This window comes from Homo sapiens, chromosome 15 (assembly GCF_000001405.40).
Source record: "Homo sapiens chromosome 15, GRCh38.p14 Primary Assembly".
Taxonomy (NCBI): domain Eukaryota; kingdom Metazoa; phylum Chordata; class Mammalia; order Primates; family Hominidae; genus Homo; species Homo sapiens.
The window spans coordinates 65243891-65257652 of record NC_000015.10 but is presented as its reverse complement, the minus strand read 5'-3'; the positions used below and the strand labels follow the sequence as shown (position 1 = coordinate 65257652).

General features: G+C 49.6%; 1 protein-coding gene across 13 annotated transcripts in view, besides 1 other annotated feature; it reads left to right on the top strand.

Annotated features, from left to right (window-relative positions):
- The window catches only part of PARP16 (poly(ADP-ribose) polymerase family member 16), a 55967-nt gene that overhangs the window by 29231 nt on the left and 12974 nt on the right, over window positions 1–13762 (top strand). For 4 of the 13 annotated variants that reach the window (XR_007064469.1, XR_001751342.3, XR_429460.4 and 1 more), the window contains exon 7: window positions 9425–9536. The exons of 5 other annotated variants lie outside the window; for them this stretch is intronic. Coding sequence is in view for 4 of the 8 variants with exons in the window: in XM_047432775.1 (XP_047288731.1) it covers window positions 9425–9439 (15 nt within the window). In the remaining 4 variants the exon portion in view is untranslated. Of the gene's footprint in view, window positions 1–9424; window positions 10718–13762 lie in introns of those variants that run through there. 4 more of the 13 variants (XM_024449969.2, XM_024449970.2, XM_047432775.1 and 1 more) reach the window with 3 other exon arrangements.
- Window positions 3693–4193: an enhancer, noted in NCBI's record as "H3K27ac hESC enhancer chr15:65545798-65546298 (GRCh37/hg19 assembly coordinates)". NCBI's record gives its function as "activates a minimal SCP1, AML or CMV promoter by ChIP-STARR-seq in naive H9 embryonic stem cells {active_cell/tissue: H9 hESC(naive)}" and the evidence as "EXISTENCE:reporter gene assay evidence [ECO:0000049][PMID:30033119]".

Genomic DNA, 13762 nt, shown 5'->3' with positions numbered 1-13762 from the left:
TTTTTTTTTTTTTTTTTTTTTTTGAGACAGAGTCTTGCTCTGTCACTCAGGCTGGAGTGCAGTGACGCAATCTCGGCTCACTGCAGCCTCTGCCTCCCGGGTTCAAGCAGTTTTCCTGCCTTAGCCTCCCTGTAGCTGGGATTACAGGCACACACCACCATGCCTGGCTCATTTTTGTATTTTTATTTTTATTTTATTTCTTTCTTAAATTTTTTTTTTGAGCTGGAGTCTCGCTCTGTCACCTAGGCTAGAGTGCAGTGGTGCAATCTCAGCTCATTGCAACCTCTGGCTCACTGCAACCTCTGCCTCCCGGGTACAAGCAATTCTCCTGTCTTAGCCTCCTGAGTAGCTGGGATTACAGGCGCATGCCACCACACCTGGCTAATTTTTGTGTTTTTAGTAGAGATGGGGTTTTACCATGTTGGCCAGGCTGGTCATGAACTCCTGACCTCAAGTGATCTGCCCACCTTGGCCTTCCAAAGTACTGGGATTACAGGTGTGAGCCACCATGCCCGGCCATTTTTGTATTTTTAGTAGAGACAGGGTTTTGCCATGTTGGCCAGGCTGGTCTCAAAATTCTGACCGCAAGTGATCCACCTTCCTCAGCTTCCCAATTACAGGCATGAGCCGCTATGTCCAGCCAGTGCCAGAGAGTTTAATAGCTTGCCCAAGGTTTTATTGCTAGGATGTGGCAGAGCTGGGAGTTGAACCTGGCAGACTGATTTCAGCGTCAATCACATAACCAATCTCCTTCCCCCAGAGGAATTGGTTCTAGGCTGAAAGGTGGAGGAAAAGTGTTTCAGGCAGTAGGAACAGCACATGCAAAGACCTGAAGTTCTTGGAGAAGCTAAAAGCAGGCAGGTTATAAAGGAAGAGGCAGTGATGAGAAATCAGGCTGGAGAGGTAGACAGGGACCAGATCTTGAAAGACTTTAAAAGCTGTGGGCGGCCGGGCGCGGTGGCTCACGCCTGTAATCCCAGCACTTTGGGAGGCCGAGACGGGAGGATCACGACGTCAGGAGATTGAGACCGTCCTGGCTAACACGGTGAAACCCCGTCTCTACTAAAAATACAAAAAATTAGCCGGGCGTGGTTGCGGGCGCCTGTAGTCCCAGCTACTCGGGAGGCTCAGGCAGGAGAATGGCATGAAACCAGGAGGCGGAGCTTGCAGTGAACCGAGATTGTGCGACTGCACTCCAGCCTGGGTGACAGAGCGAGACTCCATCTCAAAAAAAAAAAAAAAAAAGCCGTGGGCAGAGGAAAGCCATTAGAAGGTTCTAAGCAAGAAAATGATGAGATACGGTTTTTAGAAAAATCACTCTAGCTGGTGGTTGGAGAGCGGATCTAGGATTACTTTGAGGATTAAGAGGATTGATGCTTATGTAGTGCCCAGGGCAGAGTAAATCACTGATATGTATCAGTTGCTGCTACTATTATTACTTGTTTTTAAGGGCCCAACAGAGCAGAGAGCCTGCAAAGGAGACAGTAGTAGTGACCAGAGAAATAGGAGGCGACTGAGATAGCCAAGTGTCATGGAAGCCAAAGAGGAGGGCTAGATGAGCAGTGTCAAATGGTGCTGAGAAACCACGGTTATACCTGAGAAGTGTCTGTTGGATTTACTGGATTGGAGATATTGGCAAACTCAGCAGGAACAGTTTCAGTGGAGTTCAGTATAGCAGATGTGGACAAAGTCAGACTGCATAGATGGGAAGTTTTTGCAGTTTCCAGGAATTCTGTTCCCCGAGACCTGGCTATATGTCTCAAGTGAAGAACCCCTGCTTTGGCTTGACTCTGCTGTCACATTAGCTCACTGCTACAGAGCAGGGCTGAGGAGTGGGCCTCTCATTCCGGCAACATTTGTTTCAAACCTAGCCCTGTCTTTTTTTTTTTTCTTTTTTTTTTTTTTTTTTCTGAGTTTTCTGCTCCACCCCATACATCCCACCTCCAACCCCCCTCCCTGCAAAAAGAAGAAATGGTAACGCAATACCTGATATGACTGTGGGCACAGAGGATACATAAAGAATGGTCTTGCCCTCCAGGAGCTCCAGGGTTAGTGGAGGGACATGAGATAGCAGGTACGTTTTGATATGGGGGAAGGAAAACTCTGGAGTCTAGAGGGTTCGAGTGGGCAGGAGGGAAGACTAGGGCAGGGCCACGTTATGACTTCCATGGGCCCTGGGCACTTTTGCCTTTCTGGGCCCCCTTTCTTCCATAAAAGTATTTAAAATTATATTTTATTACTGCATTGATATAAAAATGAATATATTTATGTACTAAACCATTTTTTCTTCTAATTTTTCTTAAAAGTTTTTTTCTTCTAATTTTAAAAGAAAACATTTTTGCAATGTGGGCCTTAGGCACGGTGCCTACTATGTCTAATGGATGAGTTAGCACAGGACTAGTGTACTAGGGGATAGTGTGAGGCCTCTGGGTACCTGGGAATGGAGAGGCAGGAAGGAGACAAGCCCTACACGAGACTTAACATTCTATTTAGCACTGACCCAAAATCTCAGGGAGATCCCATAGGCCAAGCAGCTCTGGGAAAAGTGAAAGTGGTTTAGTTGGAGCCACCTCATAGGGGCCCCCAGCTGCCTAAGGTCTTGTGAAAAGCAACCCCATCTGTCCTCTGTCACTAATGCCATTGTAAGGGGGGACCTCTCACAGGTGAGGTCCTTGCTTCTGAAAATGCACAGCATCCCATGAGCTGTCAGTTTCTACCAGAAAGGGAAAGAGTTTTACTCTATGGGAGTAAGTGCACGAGTGTATGAGAGAGAGGTAGAATAGGGGAAGTTGTTCTGTGTCATTTCTGTTTAATTCATTTCATTAAACACTGATTGCCTACAAAACCAGGAGAGGGGTGGAGAGTTTGTGATTTAAACAGCCCAATTCAGACATTTTTCTTGAGAACATGGCCCCATCGCATCTGAGCCCATTTCTGCTAAGCCCAGGAGGCTTGTGTTGGCATGGAGTCAGCAGCATTCATCCCGTTGCCATGGTGATTCTTAGGCCCTGGGGCTGGATTTAGCTCACACAAAAACAGGACCACACCCCTCTCTAAACCCCCTCCACAGCCCCCACTTGTCTCTCTCCCCGCTCCCCTCCTCTCTACTGTGCCCCACCTCATGAGTTTTCCATCTCTTGGCCTTTGTTTGTGTTTGCCTTTGTCAGTCTCCTGCCTCTGGATGGGTTTCTGTTTGTTTCCAAACTGTCTGGGGCTGTGCACCATGGAGACAGTGTCCTGGGCTGCCTCTAGCCTGATCTGGTTAGAATAAGCCCCTCTCCTTTGCATGCGTCTCCAACCTGACATTTGGAGCATCCAAAACAAATCATGACATTCCCAAGTAAAGATAGAAACCACCGTCTCCACCCACTCTGGCTGGTGCCCTTGTCCACCTGGAAAGGGTTTTTCAAAAATTTCCAGCGTTCTGCTGTAGTGTCCATATACTGCAGCCCTGAAAAGGGAAAGCAGCATTTATTGAATACTTTATATCAGCCACGGGGCTAGACTTTGCTTGTGTTAAAAATCTGGAAATTAGGCCAGGCGCGGTGGTTCACGGCTATAATCTCAGCACTTTTGGAAGGCTGAGGCGGGCAGATCACCTGACGTCAGGAGATCAAGACCATCCTGGCCAACATGGTGAAACCCCTTCTCTACTAAAAATACAAAAATTAGCCGGGTGTGGTGGTGTGCGCCTGTAGTCCCAGCTACTCAGGAGGCTGAGGCAGGAGAATCGGTTGAACCTGGGAGGCAGAGGTTGCAGTAAGCTGAGATCGTGCCACTGCACTCCAGCCTGGTGACAGAGAGAGACCCCATCTCAAAAAAAACAAATCTGGTTTCCTGCATTAAAATTCAACTGCAAGCTCCTTGAGGACAGGGACTAGGCAGTCTTTGTATATCCAAGTATCTAAGATATGGTAGGTGCTGGAGAAGAGTTTATTGAGTGAATAAAGGGGTGCAAAGATACAAGAAACTTCCCTATCACAGTAGAGGGTAATGATTGAATGTTAGCAAAAAGAGAATGAAGGCCGGGCGCGGTGGCTCACGCCTGTAATCCCAGCACTTTGGGAGGCCGAGGCGGGCGGATCACGAGGTCAGGAGATCGAGACCATCCCGGCTAAAACAGTGAAACCCCGTCTCTACTAAAAATACAAAAAATTAGCCGGGCGTAGTGGCGGGCGCCTGTAGTCCCAGCTACTTGGGAGGCTGAGGCAGGAGAATGGCGTGAACCCGGGAGGCGGAGCTTGCAGTGAGCCGAGATCCCGCCACTGCACTCCAGCCTGGGCGACAGAGCGAGACTCCGTCTCAAAAAAAAAAAAGAGAATGAAATTAGACGAGAAAAAAAATGCATTGACAAGACATTGTGGATGAGTGGGGGTTTCAAAGAAGGTTGTGGACATTTGTTGCTTGAATTCAGGGAGTCCCATTTGCGATGTCACCAGAAATACCTTTTGAGGTTAGTGGGGTGGAAAGGACAGTGTCTTGCATTGTTTTTTTTGTTTGTTTTGTTTTTTTTTTTTTTGAGACGGAGTTTCACTCTTGTCTCCCAGGCTGAGGTGCAGTGGTGCAATCTCGGCTCACCGCTACTACATCCACCTCCCAGGTTCAAGTGATTCTCCTACCTCAGCCTCCCAAGTAGCTGGGATTACAGGCATGTGCCACCATGTCCAGCTAATATTTTTGTATTAGTAGTAGAGACAGGTTTCACCATGTTGGCCAGGCTGGTCTCAAACTCCTGACCTCAGGTGATCTGCCCACCTTGACCTCCCAAAGTGCTGGGATTACAGGTGTGAGCCACCACGCCCAGCCGCCTTGCATTTTATTTAAAGTGCAGATGATCCTGAGAGAGGCTAAACTGTTGACTTGAAGCTTATTCATACACATGTGCAAATGACTGATAACAAAGCCTCCCTAAGAGCAGGTTTTAGTAATGAGTTAGGAGAGGGTGGCGAAAGAGAAATCACTAGGGATTCAAGGGCAGGAGGAGCTTTGACCATGTCAAGGGGTGGGGCCGCTGGAATCAAACTTTGCTCTAACCCCATTTGGCCAAAGGAGGACCCCAGTGAAAACAGCATGTGGTGCTGCCAGGCTTTCTAGCCATTGCTGGTGACATTGGTTAGTTTAGTCAAACTGTCCACTGGTGGGTCAGAAAGGCCAGTCTCAATTTATTGGAAGCATGGATCGCAGGCTGCTTTAAAGATGCAGTTTTATTCTTGAGCAAGTGCAGGCTATCCCAAATGAGCCCATAATATATTGCCTATCAGAGGTCTGTAGGGATTTAAAACTAGCACATCAATTATATTTTTAAAGGGCTAGAAAAGTATTTGTCCTCTTAGTTCTTTGGCCATCGATTTCCTTTGGATAAGTCCATCTGTTGTTCTTGTCACCCAGGGTTCATTCACCTTCCTGGTACCATACCTCAACTTCCTCTCTGGGGAACCAACTCCCTTTCCCACTCTCATTGGTCTTGGGAAGCTGACTGACTGCCCCCTCCACTCACACACTCTACAAGTAGAGCATTGACTCAGGCCCAAGCCAATTAGTGAGTTGCCTTCTCCCAGCCTCAGTGATTGCTTCAAACCTAGGCATGTGGGCCGGGTGCAGTGGCTTACACCTGTAATCCCAGCACTTTGGGAGGCCGAGGCGGGTGGATCACGAGGTCAGGAGATCGAGACCATCCTGGCTAACACGGTGAAACCCCGTCTCTACTAAAAATACAAAAAATTAGCCGGGCGGGGTGGTGGGCGCCTGTAGTCCCAGCTACTCGGGAGGCTGAGGCAGGAGAATGGCATGAATCCGGGAGGTGGAGCTTGCAGTGAGCTGAGATCATGCCACTGCACTCCAGCCTGGGCGACAGAGCGAGATTCCATCTCAAAAAAGCAAACAAACGAACAAAAAAAAAACCTAGGCATGTGACCCAACTAGTATCTCATCAAAATGAGCCACGAGTTTTGAGATAATAGTATCTCATTTTGATATAATAATAGTATCTCATATCTTTTGATGAGATAATAGTATCTCATCAAAATGAACCATAAGTTTTGCTGGGGATCCTGGGAAAGAGACTTGCATTTTCAGTGGTCCTGAATGTGAGAGGCTGCCATCTGGCTGCCATGCAAAGTCTCAGACTGATGCCAACACAGTGGAAAGCAGAGCTGCTGTCCTGATGACGTTGTTTTGAGTACTGAATCCAGTTGTGCTTGAAGCCAGACTTTTCACTTAGGTGACCAATAAATACATTCCTTTTTATTTAACAGAGTAAGTTGGGTCTTAACGGGGAATAAACGTGGGTAGATCTTAACTGATAGCCTTTGCCATCCTGGAGCATCATTATTTTTAATGTAAATCCTTTGTTAACTATAGAAAGGTGTGAATTCCAAACTAGTGAGTCTGGATTGATGAAGTTTGACTGTCCTGACCCTTGGACTATCCCCACAAGGCACTCAAACCTGTGCAAAATAAGAGATGGGAGGCAGGGGCATGGTGACTCATGCCTGTAATCCCAGCACTTTGGGAGGCTGAAGCCTGCAGATCACTTGAAGTCAGGAGTTTGAGACCAGCCTGGCCAACATGGTGAAACCCCGTCTCTACTAAAAATACAAAAATTAACTGGGCATGGTGGTGCACGCCTGTAATCCCAGCTACTCGGGAGGCTGAGGCACGAGAATCGCTTGGACCTGGGAGGCAAAGGTTGTAGCGAGGCGGAGGTTGAGTGAGCCAAGATCGCACCACTGCACTCCAGCCTGGGCAGCAGAGTGAGACTCCGTCTCTAAATAAATAAATAAGAGATGGGAAAAACACACACACGCGCGCCACTGTGTTTTGGGGCCTTCTGCAGCCTCAGTCTCAAGGGGCCTCCTTCGGTCAGCTTGGACTGGCTTCTGGCCTCAGAAACCTCAGGGCCCATCAAAGTCCGGAAGCAGCAATGGGTAGGTCTGACCAGGGCTGTGGCTGTAAACTACACTGGAGGAGCCTGGCCCTCAGGAAGACCAGAGATGCAGTCTGCAGCAGTAGGAGAAGGGAGGAAGGAAAAGGATGCTACCGTGTATCAAGTGCCTCCTGCATGATGTGCATATTAAAAGAATTATCTCATTTAATCTTCACAGTATCCCTGCAAGGCAGATACTATTCTGTTTATTTTACAGAAGAAACAGGTTTGGAGATGACTTGTGCAAGGTTAAAAGGCCAGAAAGAGGCAGAACCAGGGCTGACTCTAAAGGAATAAGAAAGGCAGGCATGGCCAGGCACAGTGGCTCACGCCTGTAATCCCAGCACTTTGGGAGGCTGAGGTGGGCAGATCACTTGAGGTCAGGAGTTCGAGACCAGCCTGGCCAACATGGTGAAACCCCGTCTGTACTAAAAACACAAAAATCAGCTGGGCATGGTGGCGCGCGCCTGTAATCCCAGCTACTGGGCAGGCTGAGACAGGAGAATCGCTTGAACCTGGGAGGCGGGGGTTGCAGTGAGCTGAGGTCGCACCATTGCACTCCAGCCTGGATAACAGAGAGAGACTCTGTCTCAAAAAAAAAAAAAAAAAAAAAAAAAAAAGGCAAGCAGGTGCAAGGCTGCAGCTAGAGGGGCTGTCTGAGCAAAGAAGACCTAGGCTGGTGGCATAGGAAGACAAGAGTGCCGACACCAGGCCCAGTGAATAGAAAACGAGTTCCCTTTCCAGACTGGGGTTGTGAGCTCTGCTCTGTTTTATGAGCAGAAGGCACCTGCAATGTCAGAAGTGGAAACCATGGGAAGTCCCCCAACACCCACTCAATCAGAGCTCTGAGCTCATCTCCTGTAACCTTCCCAGCCCCATCATTGCAGACCCAGGAGGTGAGCCCAGAGGCACACATGGCACTGAATGTGGGGCAGGAAGGGGATGGCCCCTCCCTTCCACCCCCACTGCCTGCTCAAGCTATCAGCCTGCTCTGATTAAGTTGAAATTTTTGAGACCTTGCATCCAGGGGCTGCTGGCAGCCAAATCCCCCTGATTGCCTGAGATGTTCCTCACATCAGAGAACAAACAGTCACCCCTTTCTGGCCAGCTGGGCTCAGCAGCATTCCTGTCTCCAGTCCTGCCTGGCTGGGTGGGGCTGCAGCCCTTCGTCCACCTCCAGCAGAGGCCTGGAGGATCTGGTGAGTGGGTACAAGGGAGAAGGAAGGTAGCTGTCTGTCTCCAGGTTGAACGAGACATTTCTCCTGAGTCCCCATTTTGCCCCAGCACTGGGCACCTCAGCCTCAAGCCACTCCAGGCACAAGTCCTGTGTTTGTAATATGACTGTCACTTAAGAGGAGGCCCCCACTGGGCCACTGTCCCTGGGGTGGGAGCCCCTTCACCCCCGCCCAGGGGCTGCCTGGGGAATTAGATTCCCACACCATTCCAGCTAGATCTGAAGTCGTCACACTCAAATGGCTCATTTTACAAAAGTGGACACAGTCCACAGAGTTGAGACAGAAGCAGGACTAGAACACTGGCCTTTAATTCCCACAGCCTTGAGATGCTGTGGTTTGGATGACGCTAGGGGCTCTGAGCAAGAGGAGCTGCCCATGTTTTTGCAGAGAAGCAGGAGTGTTTTCGTCCCCTAGGCCTGTTTTGAAGATCAGGCTGGTGGCTGAGCGGTTTCCTAAGGAAGCAAGGCTTCTGGAAAAGCGCTATTCACTAGATGCTCCTAAATCATCTAGTTGGCAATAGAGCTGGGGCAGTGGAACCTGAGTGTGCTCTGCCACCATCCAGCGTCCAGCCTGGCCTTAGTCAGGCTTTGGGAGGCAACTGGGGACCAAGGGCAGAGTCCTTGGGAAGGCATAGCTCCCCACAACGTATAACATCTGCTTCCCTAACCTAGGACTCTGGCCTGGGTCTGTGGGGGAGGAGGAAGAGCCGGCTTTTTCAGCCAGTCTGCAAAAGGAATTCTAGGAACCCCCTCTGGCCGCAGACAGGAGGGGGAAGGAGGCAGACAGTGTGGGATCCAGGGGCAGTCCAGGAGTCTATGGACAAATGTCTCACTCCCAGTCTGTTTTGGGCCTGCAGCTTTGCCTTTGTCTAGCTGAGCAGATCAGGGTGGGTTTGTGTGACTTCTGGGTTTGTGTGTGTAGGCAGCTGCATTGCTGGTTGCAGCTGTTCCTCGGTAGAAAGTATGTACTTGTGTGTTTCCCTGTATGTAAGTATTCACATCTGTATAAGCCCATGTATGTGAGTATCTTTGAGGGAAAGTGTGGGCCTCTACTGCTTGCATAGTTGAATTGGTCTACCACCTGCCTACGTGTGTTTGTGGGGGTACTCATGAGGTTATTTTGGTGTAAATAATATGTCAGTGAGCCTCTGAAAGCACATATGCCTATTTGTGCAGAAGCATTCATTCACTCATTCTTGATTTATGATTTACTAATTTACTTGGACATTTTTAAAGTACTTGTTCTGTGATTGTCCCCACACTAGGCACTGGGAATCTGAAGAGGTGTCTGTGGCCAGAGTAAAGCCAGAGTGTGGCCATCTAAAGGGTGGGCCCAGGACAAGGGCCTCATGGAAAGGAACTGTGGAAAGTAGAGAGGTAAGAACAATCCGGCCGGGAGCGGTGGCTCACGCCTGTAATCCCAGCACTTTGGGAGGCCGAGGCGGGCGGATCACAAGGTCAGGAGATCGAGACCATCCTGGCTAACACGGTGAAACCCCACCTCTACTAAAAATACAGAAAATTAGCCGGGCGTGGTGGCGGACGCCTGTAGTCCCAGCTACTCAGGAGGCTGAGACAGGAAAATGGCATGAACCCGGGAAGTGGAGGTTGCAGTGAGCCGAGATTGCGCCACTGCACTCCAGCCTAGGCAACAAAGCAAGACTCCGTCTCAAAAAAAAAAAAAAAAAAAAAAAAGAACAATCCATTGGTCTAAGTGCCTGTGTGTGTTATCGCCTGTGTATACATGTCTCTGTGTGTCTGTCTGTGTGAATGTTCATATGTGTTTTTCCTAGAGGGTAGAACTCACAGCTCTCCAGCCATCCATTCCCTTGCCTGGGTAGACAGGCTGGGGTGGTGAGAGGGCAGTGACCTAAGAGTCCAAGATACTAGTCCTGTGCTCAGCTTAGACTCACTGTGATCTGGCCTCTCATCTGTAGAATGAAAGGGTTAGATCACCTCATCATTAATTGTATAGGCCTTGTGTGGTTTACAGAAGGAGGGTGATTGATTCCTGGGTTAATTAATTACTTTTTAGAGGTCAAATTGGAAGATGCCTAATTTTAGAAGCTCTGGGTTCAGACAGAACTCAGTTTGAATCCCAGCTCTGCCATATGGATTTTGTGTCCTTTGGAGTTATTTAACCTCATCAGGATTGTTGTGAGGATTAAATAAAATAATGTGTGTAAAGTGTTGAGCATGGGCCAGGTGTGGCGGTTCATGCCTGTAATCCCAGCATTTCGGGAGGCCAAGTCAGGAGCATCACTTGAGGTCAGGAGTTCGAGACCAGCCTGGGCAACATAGCCAGACCCCTGTCTCTACAACAAATTTTTAAAAAATTAGCCCAGCTTGATGACCTGTGCCGATAGTCCTGGCTACTCAGGAGGCTAAGGCTGGAAGACTGCTTGAGCCCAGGAGGTCGAGGCTGCAGTGAGCTATGATCACACCACTGCACTCCAGCCTGGGCAACAGAGCGAGACCCTGTCTTGGGAAAAAAAAAATTGTTGAGCATGATGCCAGGCACATAGTAGATGTTCAATAAATATTAGCTTCTGTTCTTATCTACAGACTTTCCAGCTTTCATATCTTACAAATGTTGGGTTCAGTAGACACGTTGACAAATTGAATTCATGTAAACCACATGTTTAGGGAATTCTGGCCCTATGGTGGTTGGGGGTGGGGACAGTGGGGGAGAAAATCTGGCCCTTTCTTCGGTACCTTCTAAGAAGTTGCCAACTGAGATCTGTGTGAGCCACTCCCTTCACCCCATTCTCTGATGTGGATCCTTGACATCTTCTCAGTCTTGTGTACAGATAAGTACTATGAAAGACAGGTTCAACACCCTCTTCTGACCTGATTCTGCCCCTGAGCCCCTACCCAGTGAGGCAGGATGTTGAGCTAAATAGGATCAGGCCACAGGGCAGAGCTGGGTCAGGTAAGTCTTCAAGCTCCCTGACATGTCTGTGCCTGCCTGACCAGCCCCAGTATGGGCACATCCAGACAGGCGGAGGGCGTCTGCCTCCCATGATTGATATTGCTGGGAGCGCATCGCTCTGCTCCTGGCTCAGGTGGCTGAGAATCATAGAGCACCTGAGAGACCAAGGAGACCTCCATGACCCCTGTGCCCTCAAGGCCTCTGGAATGGCTGAGTTCCAGCAGGTACAAGGAGAGTTGGGGGCGGTCCGGAGATAGTGCCTCTCAGCCAGGGTTGCTGGGGGTGACTATCTCGGGAATCCCCTAGAGCCTGTTAAAGCTGGCAGCTCTTATGCTCTCCCAAAATATCCCTGACCTGGAGGGACTGAGGGAGGGGTTTAGGGTGCAGCCAGGGTTGCTGAGTTGGGAAATTCTCTGGAAGTGAGCTCAGGGTGGCCGAGGCCCTGAGAGAAGCAGGGAGAGGGTCTGCCTGGAGGTCATGCTGGCCACCCCAATGGCCATCCCCAACATGGGTCACAGATAATTGGTTTGATGTTCTCTCAGCTCTAAGAGTTACCCTGGAGATGGGAGTAACTTAAACTGCAAAAGGCCCTCTGGGAGTCATTGTGACGGCCCCTCACCATATCTGGCTGCTCTGCTTGGGGCCAGAACTAGGAATTTTCCTCTTGAAAAAAATTGAAAGCAAGAGAGCAGGCAATGGGTTGTGGCCAAAGTAATGTGTTTAAGGAAATTTCTGCTTCATGCTGGCCAGGACAGGGAATGTCTGGTCAAATAGCTGCTGACGGCCAGGGTCCCTGTAAGTAAACAGGCCGCCTCTGATGGCTGTCCTGAGCTCATTTCCCTCAGCAGCGTGCAAGGGGATGATGTCACCATGAGTGGGGCCTCCTGGTCATGGAGTTTGTCAGTGAGCAGGATGGAAGCTCGGTGATTGCTGGCGGCCTGGGTGCTGTGGCCTAGTTATTGCAAACAGCTGCTTCCATACAAGCAGCTCTGACACCCTCCTACACATACTCCATGGGACTCTAGCCACATCCATGACCCCACAGCAGCGGTGTTCCTGGCGAGATCTGGGATTAACTGTCCCATATCCAGCTTCTATCCAAAGCCTCTTCCCTCAGCCAGAGAGCTGGGCTTCCCCTGGTCTATGAAGGGCACAACTTCAGTTGTAAGGAGTGGCCCCTAGAGGTACAGGCTCATGTTCTGCCCCTGCAGAGAGCAGATAGTGGCAACGTGTCCTACCGCCTGTCTCCTGGGGCTAGGCAGCCAGGTCCAGAGGGGGACTTTCCATGAGCAGAGAGCCCAGGTCAGGGGAGGTTAGGAGGTGGGGTGGCGAGGAAGCCACAAAGCCCTCTCTGTGCCTCCCCCACAGGCTCTTCCTGAGCCTTGCAGCCACGAGGTGAGGTTCATGGGATTTGAAAGCCCTGCAGCAGAATTACTGAGGAGCAGCTGCCAGTTTGGGACAGGCTCTATAGCCTCCCCACTCCCCCAGGCCATCCCTGTGTCACCTCCTGGCCAGGGAATGGGGAGCAGTAAGACTCTAAATAGAGATGGGCAAGAATCTTCTTAGGGGTAGGCCTGGGCCTTTTCCTTCTTGTATCCCCCCAGCATCCTGGCCTGGCTTTGCAGTTGGCTTGTCAGTCATACAGACCAACCCCACAGAGTAAGTGGCCCACTCAACAGCTGCCTGACCTACTCCAGGCTGACCAAATCCTCAGACCAACCAACAGGCTCACAGGAGACTCACTACTTCTGTGATGTACAGCCTGATTAACCAATAGGCCATCCTGTTAGTCTACATATTCAACAAATAGTCATTGAACACTTAGTTTGTGCCAGATCTTGTGCTGGCTGCAGGGGATACAGCCATAAACAAGACAGACAAGATCCTTGCTCTTAAGGCACTGAAAGTAAGCCATATGGCTTGGCTGTGTCCCCACCTAAATCTCATCTTGAATTGTAATTCCCATAATTCCCATGTGTTGTGGGAGGGACCCGGTGGGAGATCATTGAGTCATGGGGGCGGGTCTTTCCCGTGCTGCTCTCATGACAGTGAATAAGTCTCACGAGATCTGATGGTTTTATAAAGGGGAGTTCTCTTGCACACACTCTCTTGCCTGCTGCCATGTAAGATGTGACTTTGCTCTTCCTTCATCTTCCGCCATGATTGTGAGGCCTCCAAGCCATGCGGAACTGTGAGTCCATTAAACCTCTTTCCTTTATAAATTACCCAGTCTTGGGTATGTCTTTATTAGCAGCATGAGAACAGACTAATATAGTAAGTAAACAATGATGGAGTGTGATCTGTATATTATATATTATATGAAGGAAGTAAATGAGATTATGTGGGAGATAGTATCCAGCAGGCCATCCCCTGGATATAACAAAAGTCAGGGAAGACCTTCCTGACACATTATCTGAGACCTGGAGATTGAGAATGAGAAACGACCATGCAAAGAGCCTGTGGAAGATCTTACCAGATGGAGAAAGGCAATGCCAAGGGCTTGAGGTGGGGAAGAGCTTGGCATACTCTTGGGATAGCCAGAAGACCCATATTACTGGAACATGGTGAGGGGAAGGCAGTAAGACCCTTAAGCAGAGAGGTGGGCAAGAAGCTTCTTGGGGGTTCTTGCCTAAGGGGAAGGCAGCATGTGGAAGGGCTGCAGAGGAGGGCA